This window comes from Homo sapiens, chromosome 11 (genome assembly GCF_000001405.40).
Source record: "Homo sapiens chromosome 11, GRCh38.p14 Primary Assembly".
NCBI lineage: Eukaryota > Metazoa > Chordata > Mammalia > Primates > Hominidae > Homo > Homo sapiens.
Window position 1 is genome coordinate 120,558,526 of NC_000011.10, and position 22,250 is coordinate 120,580,775.

Genomic DNA, 22,250 nt, shown 5'->3' on the forward strand with positions numbered 1-22,250 from the left:
TGCAGTGAGCTGAGATCACGCCACTGAACTCCAGCCTGGGCGACAGAGCGAGACTCCGTCTCAAAAACCAAACCAAACCAAAACAAAACAAAAAAAACCCTCACAGATGTGTTCAGTTCTGACAGTTGTGCTGATGAAGGCACACACAAGAGACAGGCATTTATACACAACATAAATGATGGAAAATTAACAAAGTGAGTAGATTATATACAAGTGACAATTGCGCGTATTTAGTTTATAGAGAGGGTTGGGGGGCATTTTAGGTTCACACTGAACGTGAGCAAGAGTTTTCCCCTTCTGGACATGGTATGGGTTGCATAGATTGGACCTTCTCTTGTGTCTTACTCTTTTTTTTGCTCTGGCTCATTACCAGTGAATGTTGGTTTTACCCAGACTGCTGAGATCCTTGATAAGGCCTCACCATGGTGATGCTGAAGGGCACTCATATTTTTGCTGTGTTTATTCTTCCCGTCATCTTCCCTGGCAGCAAGTGACCAGAGCTATTTAGGACCAGGCCAAGGGAGATGGAGAAGCCTTCTCTGTTCTCAGCTGGGGGTTGGCTGCTGACAACTTAGATTAGGACCCTTTCTTGAGAAGCCCAGGAGTGGTGACCTTCGTGGCATAGCAAAGGCCTGCTGAGGCTACTAGGTGGCAATTCTGCCCTAAGCTTGGCCTCAAAGGAGCTGGGGAAGTGAGATCCATGGTTCCCCAGGACTAGCTTTGGAGGGGTCCCAGACTCCCTCGCTTCGGCTAATCTCTTGGCTGTGGATAAATGAGCTCGTGGGCACCAGCATCCTGGTGACAGCCATCCTTTGTTGGGTGCTTACCCATGCTGGGCACTGAGCAGAGTGGGCCAGACAGAACCTATTCCTGTCCACCAGGGACTCCTAGTCCTGACCAGCTGGATGTTTCATTACACATTGGAATCTGTATTTCAGCTGGCATCTCAGGAGAATCTAACTTACCTCTTTCATCACCAAAACATTAACAAAAATTATTTTGGCCACTTTAATGAAATATTTCTATCCAAATGGATATAAGAAAAGTATGCAGGCCTTCCAAAACAACATGCACAGAACATGGTTTGATCATTTTTTCATTACTCAGGGTCATTATTATAAACACCAGCTACTACCTGTGCACTAATAGACACTTCTGGGGCAAGTAGGTGATTCTGTTTTCCCACACACCAAGTGGCCCAAGACTGCTGACTTCTTGAGTTCTTTATCACCTTTTTATGTTTTCCTCTTCATTTTGTCAGTTGCCTCTTACTTTTGCCAGCATGCCTGCCTCTTCTGTGTTCTGCGTTTAATGCATATTAACTGTATCTGCATTACACCAGCAGCGAGAGGAGACAGGCCTATTAGAGGGAGGCCTGAGAGGGAGGCCTGAGAGGGTCTCTCTGGTTTGTTTTGAGGTCTTCTGGTTTCCTTCTGTATCTCAGGAGAAAGTTGAGTCCCTAGCAGTGACATTCCTGTACTCCTTGTGTTGGTGTGGCATTGTTTTGAATATATGCCCAGTTTTCCAAGCAGATTTTTTTTTTTGAGACAGTCTCACTCTATTGCCCAGGCTGGAGTGCAGTGTTGCGATCTTGGATCACTGCAACCTCCACCTCCGGGTTCAAGGGATTCTCATGCCTCAGCCTCCCAAGTAGCTGGGATTGTAGGTGTGTGCCACCACGCCCGGCTAATTTTTTTGGTATTTTTAGTAGAGATGGTGTTTCACCATGTTGGCCAGGCTGGTCTCAAACTCCCGACCTCAGGTGATCCACCTGCCTTGGCCTCCCAAAGTGCTAGGATTACAGGAGTGAGCCACTGTGCCTGGCCTCCAAGCAGATTTTAAGGTCATGATAGACAGGGGACCTAGCCCCGCATTTGTTATGCTGGCCACACAGCAGTGCTCTGGGTGTAGCAGGGAGCCTACACAGTGTCCCCGTTGAATTCATCAATGAGTCTCCTTCACAGTGATATACGGAAGTAAACTGAATATAGTATGTATATGTGTGTATATGGTATAGCTAGACTTATATACAAGTCTGGGAAGAAAGAGTGTTTCCATCAGGCACACACAAGAGACAGTATGATAGTAAGAGTCAAATTGAGGTTCTAATTTCAGCTCCTCCATTCATTAGTTGAGTGGTCTTAGATCACTCGGTGCCTCAGTTTCCTCATCTATAAAATGGGATAATTATAGTGGCTACCTTATTGGGTTGTGAGGATTAAATGAGATCATGGCTTTTAAATTGCTTAGCACAGTATCTGGCACATAATAAGCATTCAGTGATGTTAATGACAATAATTAAAAAGCTTTAACATCTACTTCAGTGGAAGAGCAGTGGGGATGGTATGATCTCGTGGGGGATTTTCTGTGGGTCCTTTCTGTCTGCTAAGGATTTCATCTTCCTCCTTCCCCCCTTCCACGCCTCTGGGAAGATCTTTATTTGGCCTCAGCCTTAAATGGATATTAATGCGGAAATGTTAGGGCTGGAGATTTCCACAGCCTTTGAATAGTAGACATTTGGAAAATTAAATATTTCTGTCAAGTGTGCCATAAATCTTGGCTGTTTAGGAAGGTGAGAAATTAAAATTGCAAGACAGCCAGGGAGGGAGTGAGCCTGTCTAGTCCCCTGGTGTGTGGTCTCTGGGTAAGGAGGGGTGGGGTGGGACTGGGAGGTGGGGCAGGAGCAGGCCCTGGGTTTAGCGGCAGCCAGGGGAGGGTGGGTTGCTGCGGGTCATCAGCCCGGCTGACTTGGAAATCCAGAAGGTTTTGATGGAGCGCTTCTCCCTCATGTTCTAGAAGATATTTCTGCATCAAGGCGCCTGCTACTGGGCTTTGAGCTTTCCTCTCCCTTCTCTCCTTCATGCTTTCGCCTCTCTTCCTGCACGCTCACCAGCAAGGCCTCTGCCTGGGAGGAAGCAACATGGCGCTGGTGACAGGCAGCACTCTAGGTCCCTTCTGCTGCTGGAGAGCCACGTGGGGACTAGGGGGGCCTACTCGGGGACTCCCCAGAGTTCCCTGCAGGCATACCCCCGCTCCAGCAATGGCAAAAGCCATGAGAGGGTCTCATATATAGAAAGGGTGTCCCAGGCCACACCTTCGGGGGCAGCCCATGTATGCCTAGGGGTCGGGAAACAGCAAAGAGAAGGCGATGTGGGTAAGGCCTCTTTACTACCACACGATTCTGTCTTCCAGAAGAACCTGGCCACCCCCACATCTCCTCCCTCTCCTCCAAACCCCAAGATGACCCAGAGGCTCAAAGCCACCTTCAGTCTTAGCTGTTTCTTTTTCCTGCCTTCTCCTCCAGTCATATATCTGGATCTGACTGCTGCACGCTACACAGCTGATGATGGGAGTGTGACTTGGTCAAAAGTTCTTTGTGGCCCACTTGAAAAGGGTGCCAAATAAGGCAAAGAATATCCAGGAGGGTATGGCCAAGGTGGTGAAGAGCCCCAGAAGGATGTCGTGTTCTTCCTCTTATCATTCATTAGCTCAGCAATTAGGAAGCAGTTGTTAGAATGTGCCAGATGGGCTGACACTGAGGGCGTACACACAATAAGGGGAGGGAGAATCTGCTCACCATGGGCCAGGCACTGTGCTAAGTCCTTTAAACCCATTGATTCACCTAAGCCCAACAGCCTTAAGATATTACCTTTATCCATTTTAATAAGGAAACTGTGATTCAGAGAAATTAAGTGACATGGCAGATGGAAGAGCTAAGAATCAAACTGACATTTCACTAACTCCAAAGCCGAGACTTTTAATCATTTTCCAATAAGGCAATGATTGTGAAATAATGACGTGTGAAAAAGTCAACAGGGACCCCGGCCTTGGCCCTAAGAAGCTCACAGTCTAGTGAAGGAGCAGGTAAGTGTATTTGGGAGGCTAACTTAGTCTCAGATGGATGGCAGGGAGCTGGGGAGGGCTTCCTGGAGGAGGTGATGCCTGAGCTGAGCCTAGAAGGATGTAAAGGAACCAACCAGAGGAAGAAGGGGAGTTAGGGTATTGTGAGGCTGGTGGGGGCTGGGGAAGAGCTTGCACACACAGAAGTAAGTGAGGATTTGTGTTTGGGTCATGGCAAGCAGGCTGGAGCCAGGGTACAAGGGGAGAGAAGAAGCTGGAGACGTGACAGTGATCAGTTCATGGGGGGCCTTGTATACCAGGCTAAGGGTGCCAGGAAATGGCTGGGGAGATTTACACAAAAGGGAACAGGTTGAGATCCTCTGGTGGTGGTAGGGCAGTGCTAGTGAGAAATGTGTGCAGCTTGGACTAATTTGAGAGACTTTCTAGAAGGTAGAACCCACAGGACTTAGTGATGATTGGGCATGGGGGGTATCGTGTGGAAAAGGGAGGAGCCAGGTCAGGGGATCAGAATGGGCAGCCAGCCCTCTTCTGCAGGGTCCAGCTGCCTGGTGGCAGTGGGGGACCCTATTTTGGCCTTCTGCGGAAGCATGACGTCCAGTGGGCTGTGGATGTATGTGACTGCCGAGATGTCAGTCATGCAGGCTGGCACCCAGCTTGCCCAGCTTCCAGAACGGGGATGGTGAAGTGTGTCTTTCCACTTCACTGTCTCCCTGGGTAAAACCCGGGAATCAGCTCCCTTCTTTTGTCAGTTGCAGAGGAAGTGGGCTCTTTCTCTATTAGACATACTCGCAGTGTCTAGTATCAGCCTCTTTGTCCATGTGGGATAGGGATTGCTTGGCCGGTAAGCACTGTGTTTGGGTGTACATCTCCTAGGATACTAGCATGTGGCCACTTGGAAGGCGGCTGCCTAGCAGCCCTCAGCCTAGCTTCAGGAGAGGAACTATGGGATCCAGCTTCTCTGGGCTCCAGAGAACAACTTCTGGGGCCTGGAAGAACCCTGTGCCCAGTGACAAGCTTGTAAAAAGAGAGAAACAATCCCTATATTTTTGGTCCCTGGGAAGGAAGTAGGGTGGACAGCAGCCTTAACTTTCTGGAGCAAAATGTGAACTTTTGAGAGCTGAAGACCAAAAGCGGGTTCAGCTTTTGAACTCGTTTTTTTTAAACCAACCTAGGCCAAAGGCTGGGAGAAGGCAGCAGCAGCCAGCCCTGTGTTACAGGTGGGATAGATGGGTGCTTTGCTCACGGTCCAGCTGGTCTCCCCGCAGCTGCTAGACCCCAGGAACTTCTGGAGCTCCCGTCCTTGGAGCCTCCTCTCAGGAAGTTAGATGTGGCACTCAGGGTTAGTTGGCTCTGAATTCCCCTCCACCCTTCCCCAGGTCATTCAGAAGCCTACCTCCTGAGCTACCCAGGGCTCTGGAATCTCCACCTGCTGTTTCACTGCTGTTTGCACCAGTTCTGGCGCCTCCCACACCTGGGGTCGGTTGTGCCTCCACGCCCGCTCTGAGCACAGTCACCGTCTGGGCCCCCTCTCCAGTGACACTCCAGGCCTAAACATTATTTTCCCATCGCGGAGGAGGTGTTCCCGGTGTGTCTCATGAATTTAACACAAGCTGCCGGAGAGCCTTTGAAAGGTTAGGGGGTGGGTAGGGAGGCAGTTTATGTAGTGGGGAAGTTGGGGTGGGGGAGGCAATGTCCCGGAGGAGTGGCTGGTGGCCTGAGGAAGGGCCCGGGCGCGCAGGCGGCGGCTAGCGCTGGAGCCCCAGCCAGCTCCCTCTCCCCACGTGCGCGCTAGGCCTTGGTTACTCTGGCAACTCGCCCCGCTCAGACGGCACCAGGCAGCTGAATCCAGCCCCTTGTTACGGGGGAAAATGCTCTCATTGAAGCGCCGGAGCGCAGCTTCTGCCTTTTATTGCAAGCGGCGCCACCGGATTCCATTTGTAAACTTATTAGTGTGCGCTCGCGGGGAGGGGGCTCGGGAATCCGGGCCCGGGCAACCGGCGCCGCATGCTAATCAGGGGGCGCCCGCCCCCGCTTTGCCCGTGGCCCTCCTTTCCCGATTCCCCGACGTTTCGGGAGGAGTGGGGTCGGAGCGCAGGGCTGGGAAGGGTCTTAGGACCCAGGAAGGAGACGGGTGCCTCCCAGAGAGGACCCCATCCCCTCCGAGGTCCGGGCGGCTCCCGGCCTCTCCCTGGGGTGCCGTAGCCCCCCTCGACCCGCCTTCCCGCAGCCGCAGTCGTTCGGGCCTGGAGGTGGCCGGGCATCGGTGCCGACGCCGCGAGGGCAGCGCCCGCGGCGGGAATACTAATGCACCCTAAAGGGCACGGCCGCCGCCGCAGCAGGTAATTAGCTGGACCGCGGCGGAGCGCGCGGAGGTGGCTGCTGGCTGCAAGGACTGCGCCCAGCCTCCGCCTCGCCCCTCGAGGCTCCCGCGTGGGCCGGCGGGCAGTGCGTGGGCCACAGGAAGCGGGCTGACTGGACCCGGCTCAGGACTTCGCACAAGGGCAGCTCTTTGTTTACAGCTCCTCTCCCAGCTCCCCGCTTTCCTTTCGCCCACCGCCTCCCTTTTCCGGCGATCGGCTCCGCCGGCTGCGGGGGGGTGGGGGGGGTGGGGTGTCCTGTGTAGCCGCCCACCTCCTGTCCCGGCCTCGTGCTCCCGCTGGGGACTGTTTGCGGTGAGTCTGTCGCACGCACGTCAGGGCCGAGGCAGTGATGCGGGGCAGCGTGGGAGGACGGGCTGCGGAGCCCGCGTCATCCTGCCTGTGGGGAGCGCTGTGCCTGCTCTCCTGCCAGCGCGCCCAGCTGTCCCGGCCGCCGCCACGCGGGACTGCCTGCCATGTCGCCACCGGCTGCTGACCTCATTAGGCCTCATGTCATGGAGGAGCCGGCGATTAAAGGACTCTAAGAACCAGAGCTAAGTGGCTGCAAAGATACTGACAGCCTCCCTAGAAGCCCACTTTCCAGTGAGCTGCTGCATCCTCTCCTCCTTTAATTAGCAGGAATGCGCTGGACAAGTTGTTACAACTGCAGGGAAAACGATAAAAGATGGCTTTGTATTAGTGTGGCAAATTTTATTAAACCGGGAGAAAGGGTAACTGAAACATGACAGCCGTGTGTGTAGTGCCTCCTGAATTTGTAATAACCCAATCTTGTTCTGAATCATCCCTGTGTTGGCTAAAGGAATATAAAGCGTTTTACAGATCCAATATTGTACGAGGTACAACAGAACACAGCCGAGTGAGGAAGGACGACAGGTAGGAGAAGGGGGCCTCCAGCGCCCGGCAGCGCTCACGGTTAATGAGACCGGAGTAGAAATACAGGGTCTGGCTGCAGGCTTTGCCTCACTAATTACTCCTGCCCCCTGGCTCTTTTCTACATCTCAGTCTTTCCACTTATAATTCAGAGGTAATACCTGGCCACATGAGAAAACTTAACTAATAGCACGTTAGTTGCCAGGGAATGGACAAAACCATCTTTTCCTATAGAGAGTGAAAAGCAAGACAGGAAATCTAGGAGAAAGAGTTGAGACACACGTGGTTATTCTGGGCTTGGGGTGTGACTTTGGTATTAGGCTGGAAGGATGATGCTATGTTTCCTACCCCTTGAGCCGTGTTGAAAGTAGGCGTCATTGTCTCTAGGATAAAAATCTGAGCCAGGCCCACAGAGGTTAAGTTTTATATCCAAGATACAGTAAATGGCAGCCTGGATTTGTGCTTTGCACTTTAAAGCCTGTTCTTTGCCTATTACCCTAGGCCTCAGATTTTATTTGACAAATGAAAAGGCAAAAAATTCTTCATTTGTAGAGGCCGTTTAGTGAACAGTTGTAGCTCTATGAGCTGTAAGGGATTTCCAGAGATCTTCTGATCTAGGCAAGATATTCTTTATTCTGCTTTTCAGAGGAAGTAACTGGAGTCCAGAGACGTTAGGCACCCTGTCCAGGGTCATCCAGCCAGGAAGTGACTGAGAAAGGAGGCCAGACTTCAAATTCCTTCTGACTGAGTAAGGTCTCAGGTGTCAGATAAGCCCATGCTGGTGTTAAAATAGACTATTTAAGGTGATTGCCAGCTAATCTACGGACGAAGTTGGGCCAGCCTACGATGTGGTTTGGACCCTCCAGATTTGGAATAAAGAAGGTGCTGAGCATATGTGGCACATACTGTTCCAACAACTTGTAAACCCTTTTTTGTCTTGAGGTTCAGTTTTCTGAGTGGGTAGTACAATAAAGTGGTTTCATTACTGGTGAGCAATTAATGGGTTGACATCAACTAAGAGGGAGAGTCTAGGGACATATCACAAGATTTTTTTTCTTGTTTATACCCTCAGTTTTTTTTTTTTTTTTGAGACGGCGTCTCACTCTGTTGCCAGGCTGGAGTGCAGTGGTGCGATCTTGGCTCACTGCAAGCTCCACCTCCCGGGTTCAAGTGATTCCCTTGCCCCAGCCTCCCGAGTAGCTGGGACTACAGGCGCGTGCCATCACACCGGCTAATTTTTGTTTTTTGTATTTTAGTGGAGATGGGGTCTCACCATGTTGGCCAGGATGGTCTTGATGTCCTGACCTCGTGTTCCGCCCACCTCGGCCTCCTAATTTTTTTTTTTTTTTTTTTTTTTTTTGAGACAAGGTCTTGTTGTGTTGGCCTAGCTGGAGTGTAGTTGCTATTCATAGGTGTGGTTGTGCTGCGCTGCTGCCTTGAACTCCTGGGCTCAAGTGATTCTCCTGCCTCAGTCTCCTCAGTAGCTGGGACCCCAGGCCATGCCATCACATCCAGCTTGTTTTTTGATGTTATTTTTTTAGAGATGCGATCTTGCTCTGTTGTTCCCTAGGCTAGAGTGCAGTGGTGCGATCATGGCTCACTGCAGCCTTGACCTTACAGGCTCAAGCGATCCTCCCACCTCAGCCTCCCAAATAGCTGGGAATGCAGGGGTGTGCCACTACGCCCAGCTAATTTTAATTTTTTGGTAGAAATGGGATCTCTCTGTATTGCCCAGGTTGGTCTTGAACTCCTAGGCTCAAGCAATCCTCCCACCTCGGCCTCCCAAAGTGCTGGGATTACAGGTGTGAGGCATCTCCCCAGCCTTGATGTTTATGATGTGTTAAATAATGGAATTAAGACCCAGAGCTCTCAGCAGGATAAGAAAGGGATTAGAAAGGGGATTTCGTGTTAGTTAGCAGAGCAAAGGGTTTGGTACAGACACATGGACATGTGACTGAAGGCCTTGTGTGCTGGGACTCCAGAGGGAGACCACAGAGAGTGGCCAGCACTTGCTGAGCAGGGGAAGAGAGTGATGATATCCATGAAAGAGACATCCCTGGCTACACTGGGAAGCCCACATTCCCTTCTCAGACACTTGTGGCTGGCCCTAGGTAGTGAGTGGGTATGGGATGTCAACAGGAGGTATGTCTTATGTGACAGTGTTGGGCTTTTTAAAAGTCTTATGTTCTATTCCCCTTCTCCAAGGCAGGTACAGACCAAAAACATCCCATAAAGATAGTTGTCTAGCATAAAATCTACAGTAGGCCAGGCATGGTGGCTCATGCCTATAATCCCAACACTTTGGGAGGCCGAGGCAGGAGGATCACTTGAGTCTAAGAGTTCAAGACCTGCCTGGGAAACAGGAAGACCCTGCCTCTACAAAAAATAAAATAATTAGCTGGGCATGGTGGTGCCTGCCTAAAATCCCAGCTACTTGGGAGGTTGAGGCGGGAGGATTGCTTGAGCCCTGGAGTTTAAGGATGCTGTAAGCTATTATTGCACCACTGTACTCCAGCCTGGGTGACAGAACAAGTCCTTGCCTCAAAAACAAACAAACAAACAAACAAAACAAACAACTCTCCAGCAAAGACTCACAACCTCTTAAGGGGATGCAGTCAAATGTTGCCTTATAATAAGACAGTTTCTCCTGGTATCCTGCCTGAGTTGAGTTCTTACTGCTTCCATTTTCTTCTGTTCTGTCCTCAGTGGAGATGGAGATGTACACCACCTTCTTTCCAGGCATTCTTTTCTTTTCTTTTCTTTTTTTTTTTGAGACAGAGTCTTGCTCTGTTGCCCAGGCTGGAGTGCAGTGGCATAATCTTGGCCCACTGCAGCCTCTGCCTCCCAGGTCCAAGTGATTCCCCTGCTTCAGCCTCCCAGGTAGCTGGGACCATAAGTGCACACCACCATGCCTGGCTAATTTTTGTATTTTTAGTAGAGACAGGGTTTCACCATGTCAGCCAGGCTGGTCTTGAACTCCTGGCCTCAAGTGATCCACCTACCTCGGCCCCCCAAAGTGCTGGGATTACAGGTGTAAGTCACCATGCCAGGCCTCCAGTTACTCTTTGGAGATGTGAAGGCTGACATTTAAGTCTCACCTCTCCTCTTGTGCAATCCTTCTTGCCAAAGATGGAGTTAGACCCTCAGAGAGGTTTGCTCCCCACCCAGCAGTAATTAACGTGTCCCTTTTCCCAGCATGGAGAGGAAATGAGCAAAGCCCTTCTGTTAAAAAAAGAAGACAAAAATATGTAATACAACCCCAGGCTCCAGTTTGGGTTTGCAAAGTGGAAAACAAAACAGAACCATTTTTCAGGTACTTTTATGTTAAGCCTCTCTAATGTGCCCCAAAATATTTTTCAAGTGATTCATCTACAATCCAATAAGAACAACGGCTGTTGCCATTTGGATGAAAGGAGCTGAGGAGCATTAGTGAGCGATTTGATTTTATGAAGGGGAAGTGGCACAGGTGCTTAGAGCCATTTGCTTGAGGCACCAAGGTCTATGCCCGGGGCATCTGCAGCTCCAGGCGGGGCAACTGGCAGTGCTACAAGCTGGATAATAGACCTACCAGGCACGCCCCGCCCCATGGTTAATATGGGAAAGGGCTACTTGCAATGGAGGCTTTGAACTTGGGTGCATTGGTCCCCACCACTCAAGGATCTCTTTATGGTCTGCTAATTTAGAAAATTACTATGACCAATGATGATAATACTAATAATTCACATTCATAAGGGACTTTCTAGTTTATAAAGCTGCCTTCCATCCATTATCTGACTTGATCCTGATAACCACTCTTGGACTGGAACAGATACTATCATCCCCATTTTACAGGTCAGAAAACTAAGGCTTCAAGATGTTTACTGCTTTGTCCAAAATTAAGAAGCTCCCCTTCTCTCATGCCCCCATTTCTATATATGGGTATTCCCTTGTGAATGTCAGGGATTTTTTTGTTGTTGTTGAATTATAATTTGAGAGAGGGAAGAGTAGCTTCCCTAAAGAGTAGTGATGCGTAGAGTGACTTTGGGGAGAAGGGTAGGGTCATTAGCCAGGGAACAGGAGTGGCAAGAGGGACTCCACAGTGGCAGAGGAGAAATTCTGGACTCTGCTCTTGCAAATACAGACTTGGAGGAGGCTGGGTGTAGGGAACAGTGGTAGCCCCTATGTGGTGGGTGGGGAGCTAGGTAGGGTAAACTGGGAACCTGAGGGAGGGTCTAATCTCCCATACTCCCAAAGACCACATCTGCTAGATGTGTATGCCTCTTGTTCCTTTCCCATTTGTATTTCCAGGCTGTTAGAAAGTCTTATTTAATCATTCTAGTCTCATTAGTTGTGCTTTTTGGGATTAAGGCCAGGACCCATTTCCATAGCAAAGGAGTTACATAGAACTCTCCATAGCAGAGTTACATGAAAATGGTGTTGGCTGCTCCGGGAGCCCCTCCTGTTGGTGGCAACAATAAAGAGTGAGAGACCGCCAGGGCGAGATGAAGCTTAGGCGACAGGGATCAAGGTCGAAAAGGCTGCAGCTTGTCTCGTGGGGAACCTCGCTCTACTGCCAACCACAGAGGATCAGGGGTTGGGGATTTTAAAAAGCTATTGTGATAATTACTCATAGTTTATAAGTCAAATCATATTTTAAAAGGCTTATAACAATATTCAGTATTTCTCTGTCCCACCCTTCCTGTCCCTCAACCTCCCTTTTTTGAAATAATGGCTTTCAACTGTTTAGCTGCTTTTTTCTGAGATTTCCACATCTCTATAGTTCTAAATATGTGTGCATTGCTATATTTTAATGTATCGATTGCATACATTATCAGTTGACTTTCTGCTTTTGCTTTTTAAGAGGGTGGCTCACTCTGTCACCCAGGCTGGAGTGCAGTGGCATCATCGCGGTTCACTGTAGCCTCAACCTCCTGGGCTCAAGGGATCATCACCCCACCTCAGCCTCCCGAGTAGCTGGGACTACAGGTGCACCATCACACCTGGCTATTTTTTTGTTATTACTTGTAGAGACAGGTCTTGCTGTGTTGCCCAGGCTGGTCTCGAACTGCTGGGTTCAAGTGATCCTACCACCTTGGCCTGCCAAAGTGCTAGGATTACAGGTGTGAATAATGCCCAGCCAATTTTCTGTTTATGGTAATGAGGATTTAGTCTCTTATACTACCATCCCATCTGACACCTTCCCCTCATATGTGGTATTTAAACTTTAGTTAAATGAATAGTCAGAATTTACATTATATCTGTGTGAATATTATTTACAACTATTGTGAAACAGTTGTTTCCTTACCTCTCATTTTGTTCTGAAGTTGGTAACTGCCTTGTTTTATCATTTGCTTAGTTTTCTTTGTCCTTACCAATAGCCTCTCAGAATGATTTTCCACAAGGTCACTCTCTCCAGGTGATCAGTCAGCCCCTGTGTCTTGGAGCCTTCACTCCTGGACACTTCTGTTCTTATGTCTGGACTGCTTGCCTTGTAGGCCTGGTGCCCGGCTGTTTTCCTGGGACTTCCCTTGGCCCCCTCCTCCCTAGACTCCTTTTGCCTTTCCCTGATTTACATTCCCTATTTCTGAGACCTTGCATCTTCTTCTTTCTTGGTTTACTCCATTGTTTTGATGGAGCGTGCTCTCCAGGAGTTTTCTCAGATTGAAAAGCTGTGCAGCAGCTGAGGACATGGTGACGACTGTCCTCTGCATGCCGCTGCACACCCTGCACTCTGGCTGGTTGCCTTCCACACCTGTGCACAGCAGTCTCTTTTCCCCTGGGCTGGATCTCCCGTTTTCTGTAGCTTACATGTTCCTTTTGCTTAGGTTAGTCCCTCATCTTGCTGGAAGATTTTGATTTTTTAGGAAAGCTGATTGGTGGCAGGACCCTCCTGCATGCTGCACTAGTAAGTGGCAGAATTGTGACTCAAACCCAGGTCTGCTGGTTTACATCAGGTGTTCCTCCTCCCCCAAGCTATGATTCTAACTCCTCCTCCTGTGGGGGCCCAGGAGCCACACCCTCCCCTGGCTCTCACCACCCCTCATCCACCTGGCCTGGCCCACCCCCCTCATCTCTCCTCTTCTTCCTCTCTTGCCAGCCCCCATTGTGGATGTCTGTCTTTCTGACACCCTGCACCTTTGCCTAGACTATGTCTAGGGCCTGGGTTGCCAGGACAGAAGCCCCAGGTCTGTGAGGTGACCTGGGTTCTTTAAACTTTCCTGGGTGAACGACCTACTTGGTGGTGGGGAACATGTTGGGGAACATGAGGAGTGAGGCCATTACTGTGGCACAGCCCTGCTCATGGTCCTTTGATTGGCAGGAAGTCACCGGAGGCATCCTGTCTATGTCAGCTGGAGCTGCTATAACAGATCATTCTACCATAGACTGAGTGGCTTAAACAACACATATTTCTCACCATTCTGGAGGCAGGGAAATCCACGATCAAGATGCCGGCGGATCCAGGGTCTGAAGAAGGCCCCCTTCCTGGATTGCAGATGGCCATCTTCCTGTTGTCTTCTCACATGGCGGAGAGCAGAGAGAGCAAGAGCAAGTTCTGTGTCTCTTTGAGAGGCACGAGTCTCCTTCTTGAGGGCTCCACCCTCCTGATCTAGTCACATCCCAAAGCCTCCATCCCTTAATACTTCGTCACCTTGGGGGGTAAGACGTTCAACACCGGAATTTTGAGGGATGACACAAACATTCAGCCCATAACACATCCCCACTACAACATGCCTGGTAGCGCTTGCCCAGAAAAATTTCCATCTGAATCGGGCAGGTCAGGGAGTAGAGCGTTGCGGAGAAGATCAGGTGGGAACTCACCTGAAGTCCCTTACAACTTGGAAGGCATGAGCATGTCGAGGCGGGGAGTGGAGAGAGAGCATGCCTGTCTCCTTCGCAGGCTGTCTTTGGGAAGATTTGCCTGGCCTGCTTTAAGGAGGCTGCCTCCTCCTGTCTGGGCTCTTTCTCTCCCTCCCGTCTTTACAATCATCACCTCCTAAAGCACTGCCTTTCTTGGGAAGTTTTCCAGGTAGAGTGGGAGCAAAATGGCAATTCATGCCAGAAGTCATGCATAAATAAAATCCACTGATAATTCCCAAGCCCTGCTTTAGCCATAAGCTTCAATCTTTCTTACCCACTAAACCCTCTCCCAGAACTGCTAAAGGGAACAGCACTGATGGATTTGTGTCTTTCCCCTTTTCATTTCCGCTGTTCCCTTCTTCTGATTGAGGAACAAATTAGTAATGAAATGACCCAACTAAGGCCATTAAATATTGTGCAAGAAGATTGGAAAGCCAGAGGCCTTAGTAATCTCTAAATTAGACCATTGGACCCAAAGCCGTTGAGAGGTAACCATACTCCATTCACTCATTCACTTCATTCATTCATTCATTCAGTAGTCTTTTATTGATCTAATACAGTTGTGTCTTTTAATTTGAGGTATTTAAAATGTGTTTAAAGCGAAGTGTTCTCTTGTGGATTGTAGTTACCTCGAGGCCATGAGCCAGGTTGGTTTTGCCAGTTTGGTGTGGTGTCCTGGGTATTTCACTGCTTGGGTTGAAGGACAAGCGGTCTGCTAGAGTGAGCCCCGTAAATGTTTGTTGTTGATGATGGTGATGCTTGATCAATAAAGTTAATCCTGCCATTGTCACCAGGATATAAACCTTTAGTCATCTGTGTGGGCATTTCTCCTTGAACATGATGCTAAAGATGTTTAATCAGACTCTTCACAGCTTCCAAGAGCTGGGCCATGATGAAAAAGACCTTGGCACGTGGCTGTTGAGGGGAAGCTGTTCCCATAATGAGGAGTCAGTCTGTTAGTCCTGGCCCCATACCCACTCCCCACCTGTGATCACCCCCGCCACTGCTGGGGACCCTTGGCCTCAGCTGTCCTTAGCTCTAGCTTGTGGGTCCTTGGAGGTCCAGCTCAAATTTGTCTCACTGGGTGGGAGAAAGAGGTACACAGGGGATGGAGAGACAGAGTTGGAGCACTTGGGACTCAGAATGGTCACTGAGCAGATAGACGAGGGCTGGCAAGACACATGGGGAAAACTAGAAACAGAGAGAGCAGTGGGGTGTGGCCTGGACTGGGAGTCAGCAGGTGCTGGTCCTGGCTTCTGTAGACAGTGTGTGGATGGGCCTGACTCAAGAGCCAGGTGAGCACAGAGCTCCAGGATTTGGGGCTCAGGGACCCTCTCCCAGCCCTTCTATCTGGAGGTGGCCTGGGCTTACAGCCAAGCCAGGCTCTCCTTGGGTCCTTCCACATCCCAGAGGCCCACACTGAGCTTGGCTGCAGCAAGGCTGATGGCAGGGCCTTCGGGCTCCTGCTGATTCATCTTGCTGACTCCAGGCTCGGGGCTGCTACCCAAGGAGGGCCTTAGAGTCCTGAGAGTATCTCCTGACCAATCAATCCTCTCTCCCCTGGGACCGACACTGGTGACTCAGGGATAGAGTGCACCCGATGAAAGGTAGTATTTGTTGTGTGTCTCTCTCCAGCCTTATCCATGAGCTCCTTAATAGCAAGTCACACACCTCCTCCCACGTGCCAGGTGCGTGGTGGGGCTCTGTCATGCTGGTTGAATTGAGCAGTGGTTGTGCTGTGTGATTATGCTGAATGTATGGGGGACTGTGCCGGGAGCAGCCATCCACGATCACGTCGCTGGGCTGGATGGTCCTCCTTGGTTTTAGGTCTTCTCCCAAAGAGGGAATGGTGGAGGGATGATCATAACAATAATAGCCAAAATAGCAAACAAGTCACAGTACCAGAGGCTGTGGTGACACCTTACGTATATGGTCTCTTAAATTCTCCCAACAGTCCTATGAGACGGGCACTGTTTTACTCCCTTTTTGCACATGAGGACACGGAAGCACCTGGCTCACTCTCCTTCATTCTTCAGGCCTCTGTTTGAATGTCTTCTCCTTTGGGAAGGCCAACACCCTCTACCTCCATAACATTGCATTTTTGATACTTCCTGGCTTTTGATGACTTGTGTCTCTTCCCTGATCTGTAAGGGCAGGGGCTACATCTGTCTTGTTCACTATTGAACCCGTGGTGCCAGGCACTCAGCTGGTATGGAGTAGATGCTCAATAAATGTGTTTGAATGAAGGAATGAACCAATTCTTACAGCATCACTTTGTGTCTACAGAAGCATTCCATCAGTCTGTGGGGAGGGGAGGCGCTTTCCTCTGTGTCTCCCTGCAGTGTCCACTGAGCCAAGAGGTGTCCCAGACCCAGGCATCTCTGTTTAATAAGAATTCATTGAGCACCTACTATATGCCTGAGTCTACACCGAGTGACAGGAAAGGGACCCCTGACCTCAAGGAATGTCTAACATTGAGGACATGGGAACTAAAGACTATATCTTCTGCAAAGAACTCCCTTCATTTGCATTTCTCCTAAAGCTGTGTCATGCTTTGAGAATGCATCCTGCATAGCCTTCTAAGAGTTCTGGGAAGAGAAGAATGGGCTCCCTGCTCATCAGGCTTCTCAGCTCCAGAGGACCCTGTTGTGCCCGCCATGCCTGAGGTAGACTGGTGGAGGTGGTTCAGTTATGCACGTTCATGCTGGGATCCTTCGCTCCCTCCCTTTGAGGACACGAGCATTTTGGCGAATTCTGAAGAGCACACGTTTTCCACTTAGCTCAGTCTGTGGCGGGCTCATGGTGCCTTGGTGCTACTATCTTTCCATTTATCATCTCAGGCCTCCCTCCCCTTTCCCTGCCCAGCCTTTTTACCTGATTTAATTTTCACACCTTATTCAGTGGCTCTTCATGGAACTTGTCTGCGTCGTTTTACTTCTCTTCCCTCTGGCGCACGGGTCCTCTCACCATCTATCTTCCAGGCCTCCTCCACCCCACAGAACATTTTGCAAGAAATGCAAAGAGCTTTCTTTCCACTGTGCATCTGGGCAGGTGCTGGCCGCCGCTGAATGGGGTGTGCTACTTAGAGTGTGGGTGTGGGTTTGGGGTGTGTGCGTGGGTTTGGGGCATGTGCCTCACATACCTACCCAGGCACAAGTGTAGAACTGACTCCTGCTCTTGCCCCATTCTCCCTCCAGAAACCACAGGTCACTCTGACTTCCTGCTGGGCGTCCCTACAGATGTTGGCGGCCCCCTCCTCTCTTCTCCTTGTGCTTATGAACCAAGCAGCAGAAAGCCCCCTGGTGTTGGGGAGGGATCGCAAGGAGCGCTTGAGGACGATCCAAGGCCAGGCGTGGTAGCATGTGCCTGTAATCCCAGTGCTTTGGGACACCGAGGCAGGAGGATCACTCGAGCCCAGGAGTGCGAGGCTGCAGTGAGTTATGATCATACCACTAAATTCCTAGGCAACAGAGCAAGATCCTGTCTCTGAAAAAAAAAAAAATGCCATCCAGACGGCATCCTGCTGCATGCAGCTGGAAGATGCAGCCCCTTTTATTTTCTGGGAGGCAACCATAGGAAAACAAAGTGTGAGTGGCCATAATTTACTGGGCTCCTGGGTAAATTTGTATTTCATTCTGATTATTGAATGTGTCGCCTAATTGCAGCTATAAAAAGGAATAGTCCATCTTCCCCATGAAAGCCCATTGCTGGCTGATTGTTGTTTAATTAGTTGATTCCAGTGGTCGAGGGGTGAGTTTGGAATTACAATTACAACTCCTATTATTTCAGGGAGATTGTTGAATTAATTAGTAGGACAATAGGATTCCTCATAGTTGACATCTTAAGAATCCACAATGATAACTTTAAAATTGGTTGCAAACATGAAAATAGGTGATAGATTTGTCTTCTCTGCCAGGTGACGCTAGACTTCAGGAAGACCCCCCATTTCTGCTCCCCTCCTGGGCTTGGAGAAGAGTACAGCTGCTCTTGACTGGTGGGACCTTTTGCTGGCTAGGGGTGATGGGAGAAGCAAGAGAGGGATCCACACACCTGCGCTTAGCTTTCTATGACCTGGGCGGATGGAGGCCAAAGGTAAGGTGGGATGAGAGAGAATAAAGACAGGAAGGAAAGGGCTCAGCCAAGAATGTGTAGTGTTTAATGCAATGTCGATGAAGAGCTCTGCTTACAGCTGTGATGGTCATGGGCAGCCACCCTAGACAGGGGCAGGTGGCAGTGCCCTCAGAGAGGGCCCAAGAGGTAACAAGGCCACGGTCATGCTAGGAGTTCTGGGAGCTGGATAGATCCCCATAGAGGAGCCTGTGTTCCCAAGGCCCCTCTATGACCACCAGCCTGTGCTGGGCCCGGGACATGGCCGGCTAATGTTTGGTTCTGGGTGACCTCCAGCCTTCTGGTTAAGGTCTTGCCTTAGCTCCTGCCTGAGTCGGGGTGGGGAGCTGGAAGGACTCAGCTCCCTGTTCTCCTAAGCTTGCGCTTTCCTTCACTTTCTTGTCGTATTTCCCCTCTCCCCAGGAGTCACCAGAAGCATCTTCTCCGCTGGATATAAAAGAGAAATATTGCGCTTTAGCTGGCTTCAGCAAGAAAGGTGATAATGAGAATATAAGAGAAACTGTTTATCCAGGTGGTTAATATTTGAATAATCCTGAAGGTCATATGGCATGTTTCTTTCAAGGAAAGATTCTGTCCTCACCTTGGTGCATATGTGGAGAGGCGGGGCAGGCACAGTGCTGTCCTGAACTTGCATCCTGTGGAGTTGCTGTGGTCTAGAGACATGTGGAGCATGGGGTGGAGGAGAGCCAGGTGGGTTTCTGAGGGGGTGAGTGGACTGTGGCCTGAGAGGGGTGTGTGGAGGGCAGAAGTCCTATGGGAAGAGTGGGATGATGGAGATCTCTTGGGTTAGAAGGGGCTTCTTCTGGTTCTGAAGGCAGTTGCCCAATAAAGGTGGATGGGAGCCCATTCCAGACACCATCTCGGGGGGTTCGTCTTTTCCTTTTTCTCCACTAGCCTCTTACCTGATCTTCCAGGGCTAGGTGTCCTTCAGGGGCCAAAGGGGCTGGGGAGTTTCTTGGAAGGCAGATCATTAAGATTTAATGGGACATTTCCTGCCAGGCAGAGGGATTGTAAAATGCAGCTAATTTAGAGAGCCAGGGGATCACAGAGTCATTTTGCCTTTCGTTGGGAAAGGCCAGACATGAAATTATGCCAATCCCTGCCCTCCTGTCTTCAGTCCTCCCCAATTATACCACTGGGCAGCTGCTGAGCTGGCCCAGAGTATCTGCTGGACAGAGCCCTTCCCTGCTGGCGGCAGGGGCAGGTGGGTGTTTAGCTGGCTGAGGGCTTAGTGAGGAAAGTGGTGTTGGAGCAGCATCTACGCAGCCACAAGCCCTTGTGCAGTGCTCGGATTTCTCAGCTCGGCCCCAGGACCATAGCCACAGCCCAGACTTCCTTTCCTCCATCCCCTGTAGTGGCTTCTCAGAGCCTTGGTCTGGCAGGGTCCTTTCCTTTCAGCAGAGTGAGTTGGACAGTTGAAGGAAGTGAGTTGGTAAAGGGGTAGTGGCAATTGTGTGTCTGTGTGTGTGCATGTGTGTGCATGCGTGAGACAGAGACATAGAGATGAACAGAGAGACAAAGGCAGGGAGAAGGAGAGAAACACGACCAGAGGGCAGGGAAGTAGAAGGGCACCTGTTGCCTCCCCTGGGGCTGGGCTGTTTGGTTGAAGTTGATCTCAGCTGTGTGTCTTTACCCATAGGTGACAGGAAATGAGAACATGGAGGGATAGATGTGGGCACAGCCTAGGGAGAGGAAAGGGGAGGTGAGAAGTTACAACAGCAGTGGGATCCTTTGGGGCCCTTGGGCTGAGATGCTGGATCAGTGCTGCCCAAGAAGCTGGAGTTTAGAGCTGCTCCTAGGTGTGCAAGGGAAATAGCCATAGATGTGGACACCAAGAGGTTCTGCCACACACAACATGCATGACCTCTGTGAGGTCCCATAAAAATGAGGATACCATTGCAACCTTACACGTAACACAGCTGAAGCTTCTAGAACATACAGGGCATCCAGTAAGTCCATGTTCCACCTTCCCTCCCTTCCATAGAGGGGGATACACGGATGCTTAGTACAGTGCCAGACACATGCTTGGCACTCAGTACAACTTGGTGGAATTGGATTCCGAATCCCAACAGCCACTCAGCCACTGCCCCTCGGCCTTGGGAGCTGGAGTCAGGCAGAGCTGAGGGTTGCACCCAGCTGGCCAGTGGTCTCCCCTCCCGGCGAACGCCCCGCCCGGCCCCTGGTTTCTGGTAACACCCTGCTATGTCGTCCCGCTTCCTCACTTGGCTCATCTCCACAAATACTCAGAGACGGAGGTGGGGAGGGTTGCAACTGTCTCCAGCCCCATGGGTGGCTGGGTTTGAGCCCTGACTCTGCTGCTAACCAGCTGTCAGAAGTTGCGGGTTAAGTAGCGGGGGTTGAGGCGGGAGTTCCTGCAGGCAGGGCCATGCTTCTGCCACGTGGAAGCCATACACTATCCCTCTGTGAGTGCCCAGGAAGGCTTGGAGGCATACTCCTACCTGAATATGATAGTCCAGCCCAAGTGGCATTTATTGAGCATCCACTGTATGCCAGGCCCTGTCCCAGCACTGAGGATCCAGCTGTGAACAAGGCTGCATGATGGTGGAGTGGGGACAGCCAGCCATAAACAAGGATGATTGGGAAGTGACAGCACACGACAAAATAACCCCCCCCCCTTTTTTTGGATGGATGAGGCGTGGGGGTGCGGAATGATGGGGGCAGGTGCTTTGTAGGGTGAACTGAGGAGACCACACTTATATCAGCCCCTTTCAGAAGGAGCCAGCCACACAGAGTTCAGGGCAGAGCCTTCCAGGCAAGGGGAACAAGGCGGTAGCAAGGTGGGGACAGGGTGAGTGTCTTCGAGAGAATGGACAGATGGCCAGGGTGGACATAGGGGTGCGGAATGAGAGGAGGTCAGAGAAGCATGCTGGCCTTGTGTGCCAGGGAAGGAATTTGGATTTTATTCTAAAATAAGATCACTTTGGAGGAGTTTAAGCAGGGGAGTGACAGTATGATTTATATTTGAAAAAGTTATTTTGACAGCTTATAAAGGATAAATCATAGGAGAGGAAGAGTTAAGCCATGAGTAGCTGTAGGTTGGGTGAGAACTGACAGAGGCTTGGACATAGTATGGCCTTGGAGGCAACAGACATGTGTGGGCGGGTCCCGATCTGTACAGTTTCAGGTTTTTATTAAGGTATGTTTTACACACAGTAAAATTCCCCGTTTAGCATAAAGTTCCATGACTTTTGACAAAGTCCTGAGTTGTGTAACCACCACCACAATCAAGATATGGAACATCTCCGTCACCTGCCAAATTCCCCCACACCCCCGGCAGTCACACTCCCTCCCCACCTCCCACCCTTGGCGACCACTGATCGTGTTCAGAATGTCATATAAATAGAATCACATAGTATATAGCTTTCTGAGTCTGGCTTCTTCCACTTGGCATAATGTATTTGAGATTTATCCATGTTGCTGCATATGTGAGTAGTTCATTCCTTTTTATTGCTGGATAGTATTCCATTGTGCAGAAATGCCAGTTTGTTTATTCATTTACCCGTTGAAGGACGTTTGGATTGTTTTCAGTTTTTGACAATTTCAAATAAGGCTGTTCTACACATTTGAGTACAAGGGTTCTTTCTTTCTTTCTTTCTTTCTTTCTTTCTTTCTTTCTTTCTTTCTTTCTTTCTTTTTCTTTCTTTCTTTCCTTTCTTTCTTTATTTATTTTTTTGAGACAGAGTCTCACTCTGTCACCCACACTGGAGTGCAGTGGCGCGATCTTGGCTCACTGCAATCTCCACCTCCCGGGTTCAAGTGATTCTCCTGCCTCAGCCTCCTAAGTAGCTGGGATTACAGGTGCACACCACCATGCCTAGCTAATTTCTGTACTTTTAGTAGAAACAGGGTTTCTCCATGTTGGCCAGGCTGGTCTCAAACTTCTGACCTCAGTGATCTGTTCTTACCAAAGTGCTGGGATTACAGGTGTGAGCCACCATGCCTGGCCTCCTTTCTTTTTTTTTTTTAGAAACAGGGTTTTGCTCTGTCATCCAGGCTGGAGTGCAGTGGTACAATCATAGTTCCCTGCAACCTCTGCCTCCTAGGGTGTAGCGATCCTACTGCCTCAGCCTCCCCGGTAGCTGGGACTACAGGCATGAGCAACTGCACCCGGTTTTGAGTACAGACATTGATGTGAACCTAAGTTTTCATTTCTCT

At 50.1% G+C, this 22,250-nt stretch overlaps 1 protein-coding gene across 21 annotated transcripts in view, besides 3 other annotated features; it reads left to right on the forward strand.

The window, feature by feature from the left end:
* GRIK4 (glutamate ionotropic receptor kainate type subunit 4) overlaps positions 1-22,250 on the forward strand; it is a 477,159-nt gene that overhangs the window by 46,778 nt on the left and 408,131 nt on the right. For 3 of the 21 annotated variants that reach the window (NM_001440413.1, NM_001440416.1, NM_001440419.1), the window contains exons 2-3: positions 17,144-17,379; positions 17,863-18,038. The exons of 13 other annotated variants lie outside the window; for them this stretch is intronic. The gene's annotated coding sequence lies outside the window, so the exon portion shown is untranslated. Of the gene's footprint in view, positions 1-5,908; positions 6,201-17,143; positions 17,380-17,862; positions 18,039-22,250 lie in introns of those variants that run through there. 5 more of the 21 variants (NM_001282470.3, NM_001282473.3, NM_001440414.1 and 2 more) reach the window with 2 other exon arrangements.
* Positions 6,023-6,603: an enhancer, noted in NCBI's record as "H3K27ac-H3K4me1 hESC enhancer chr11:120435257-120435837 (GRCh37/hg19 assembly coordinates)". NCBI's record gives its function as "activates a minimal SCP1, AML or CMV promoter by ChIP-STARR-seq in naive H9 embryonic stem cells {active_cell/tissue: H9 hESC(naive)}" and the evidence as "EXISTENCE:reporter gene assay evidence [ECO:0000049][PMID:30033119]".
* Positions 6,203-6,472: a silencer, noted in NCBI's record as "silent region_3994". NCBI's record gives its function as "represses an Ori minimal core promoter by ATAC-STARR-seq in GM12878 lymphoblastoid cells {active_cell/tissue: GM12878}" and the evidence as "EXISTENCE:reporter gene assay evidence [ECO:0000049][PMID:35858748]".
* Positions 6,604-7,183: an enhancer, noted in NCBI's record as "H3K27ac-H3K4me1 hESC enhancer chr11:120435838-120436417 (GRCh37/hg19 assembly coordinates)". NCBI's record gives its function as "activates a minimal SCP1, AML or CMV promoter by ChIP-STARR-seq in naive H9 embryonic stem cells {active_cell/tissue: H9 hESC(naive)}" and the evidence as "EXISTENCE:reporter gene assay evidence [ECO:0000049][PMID:30033119]".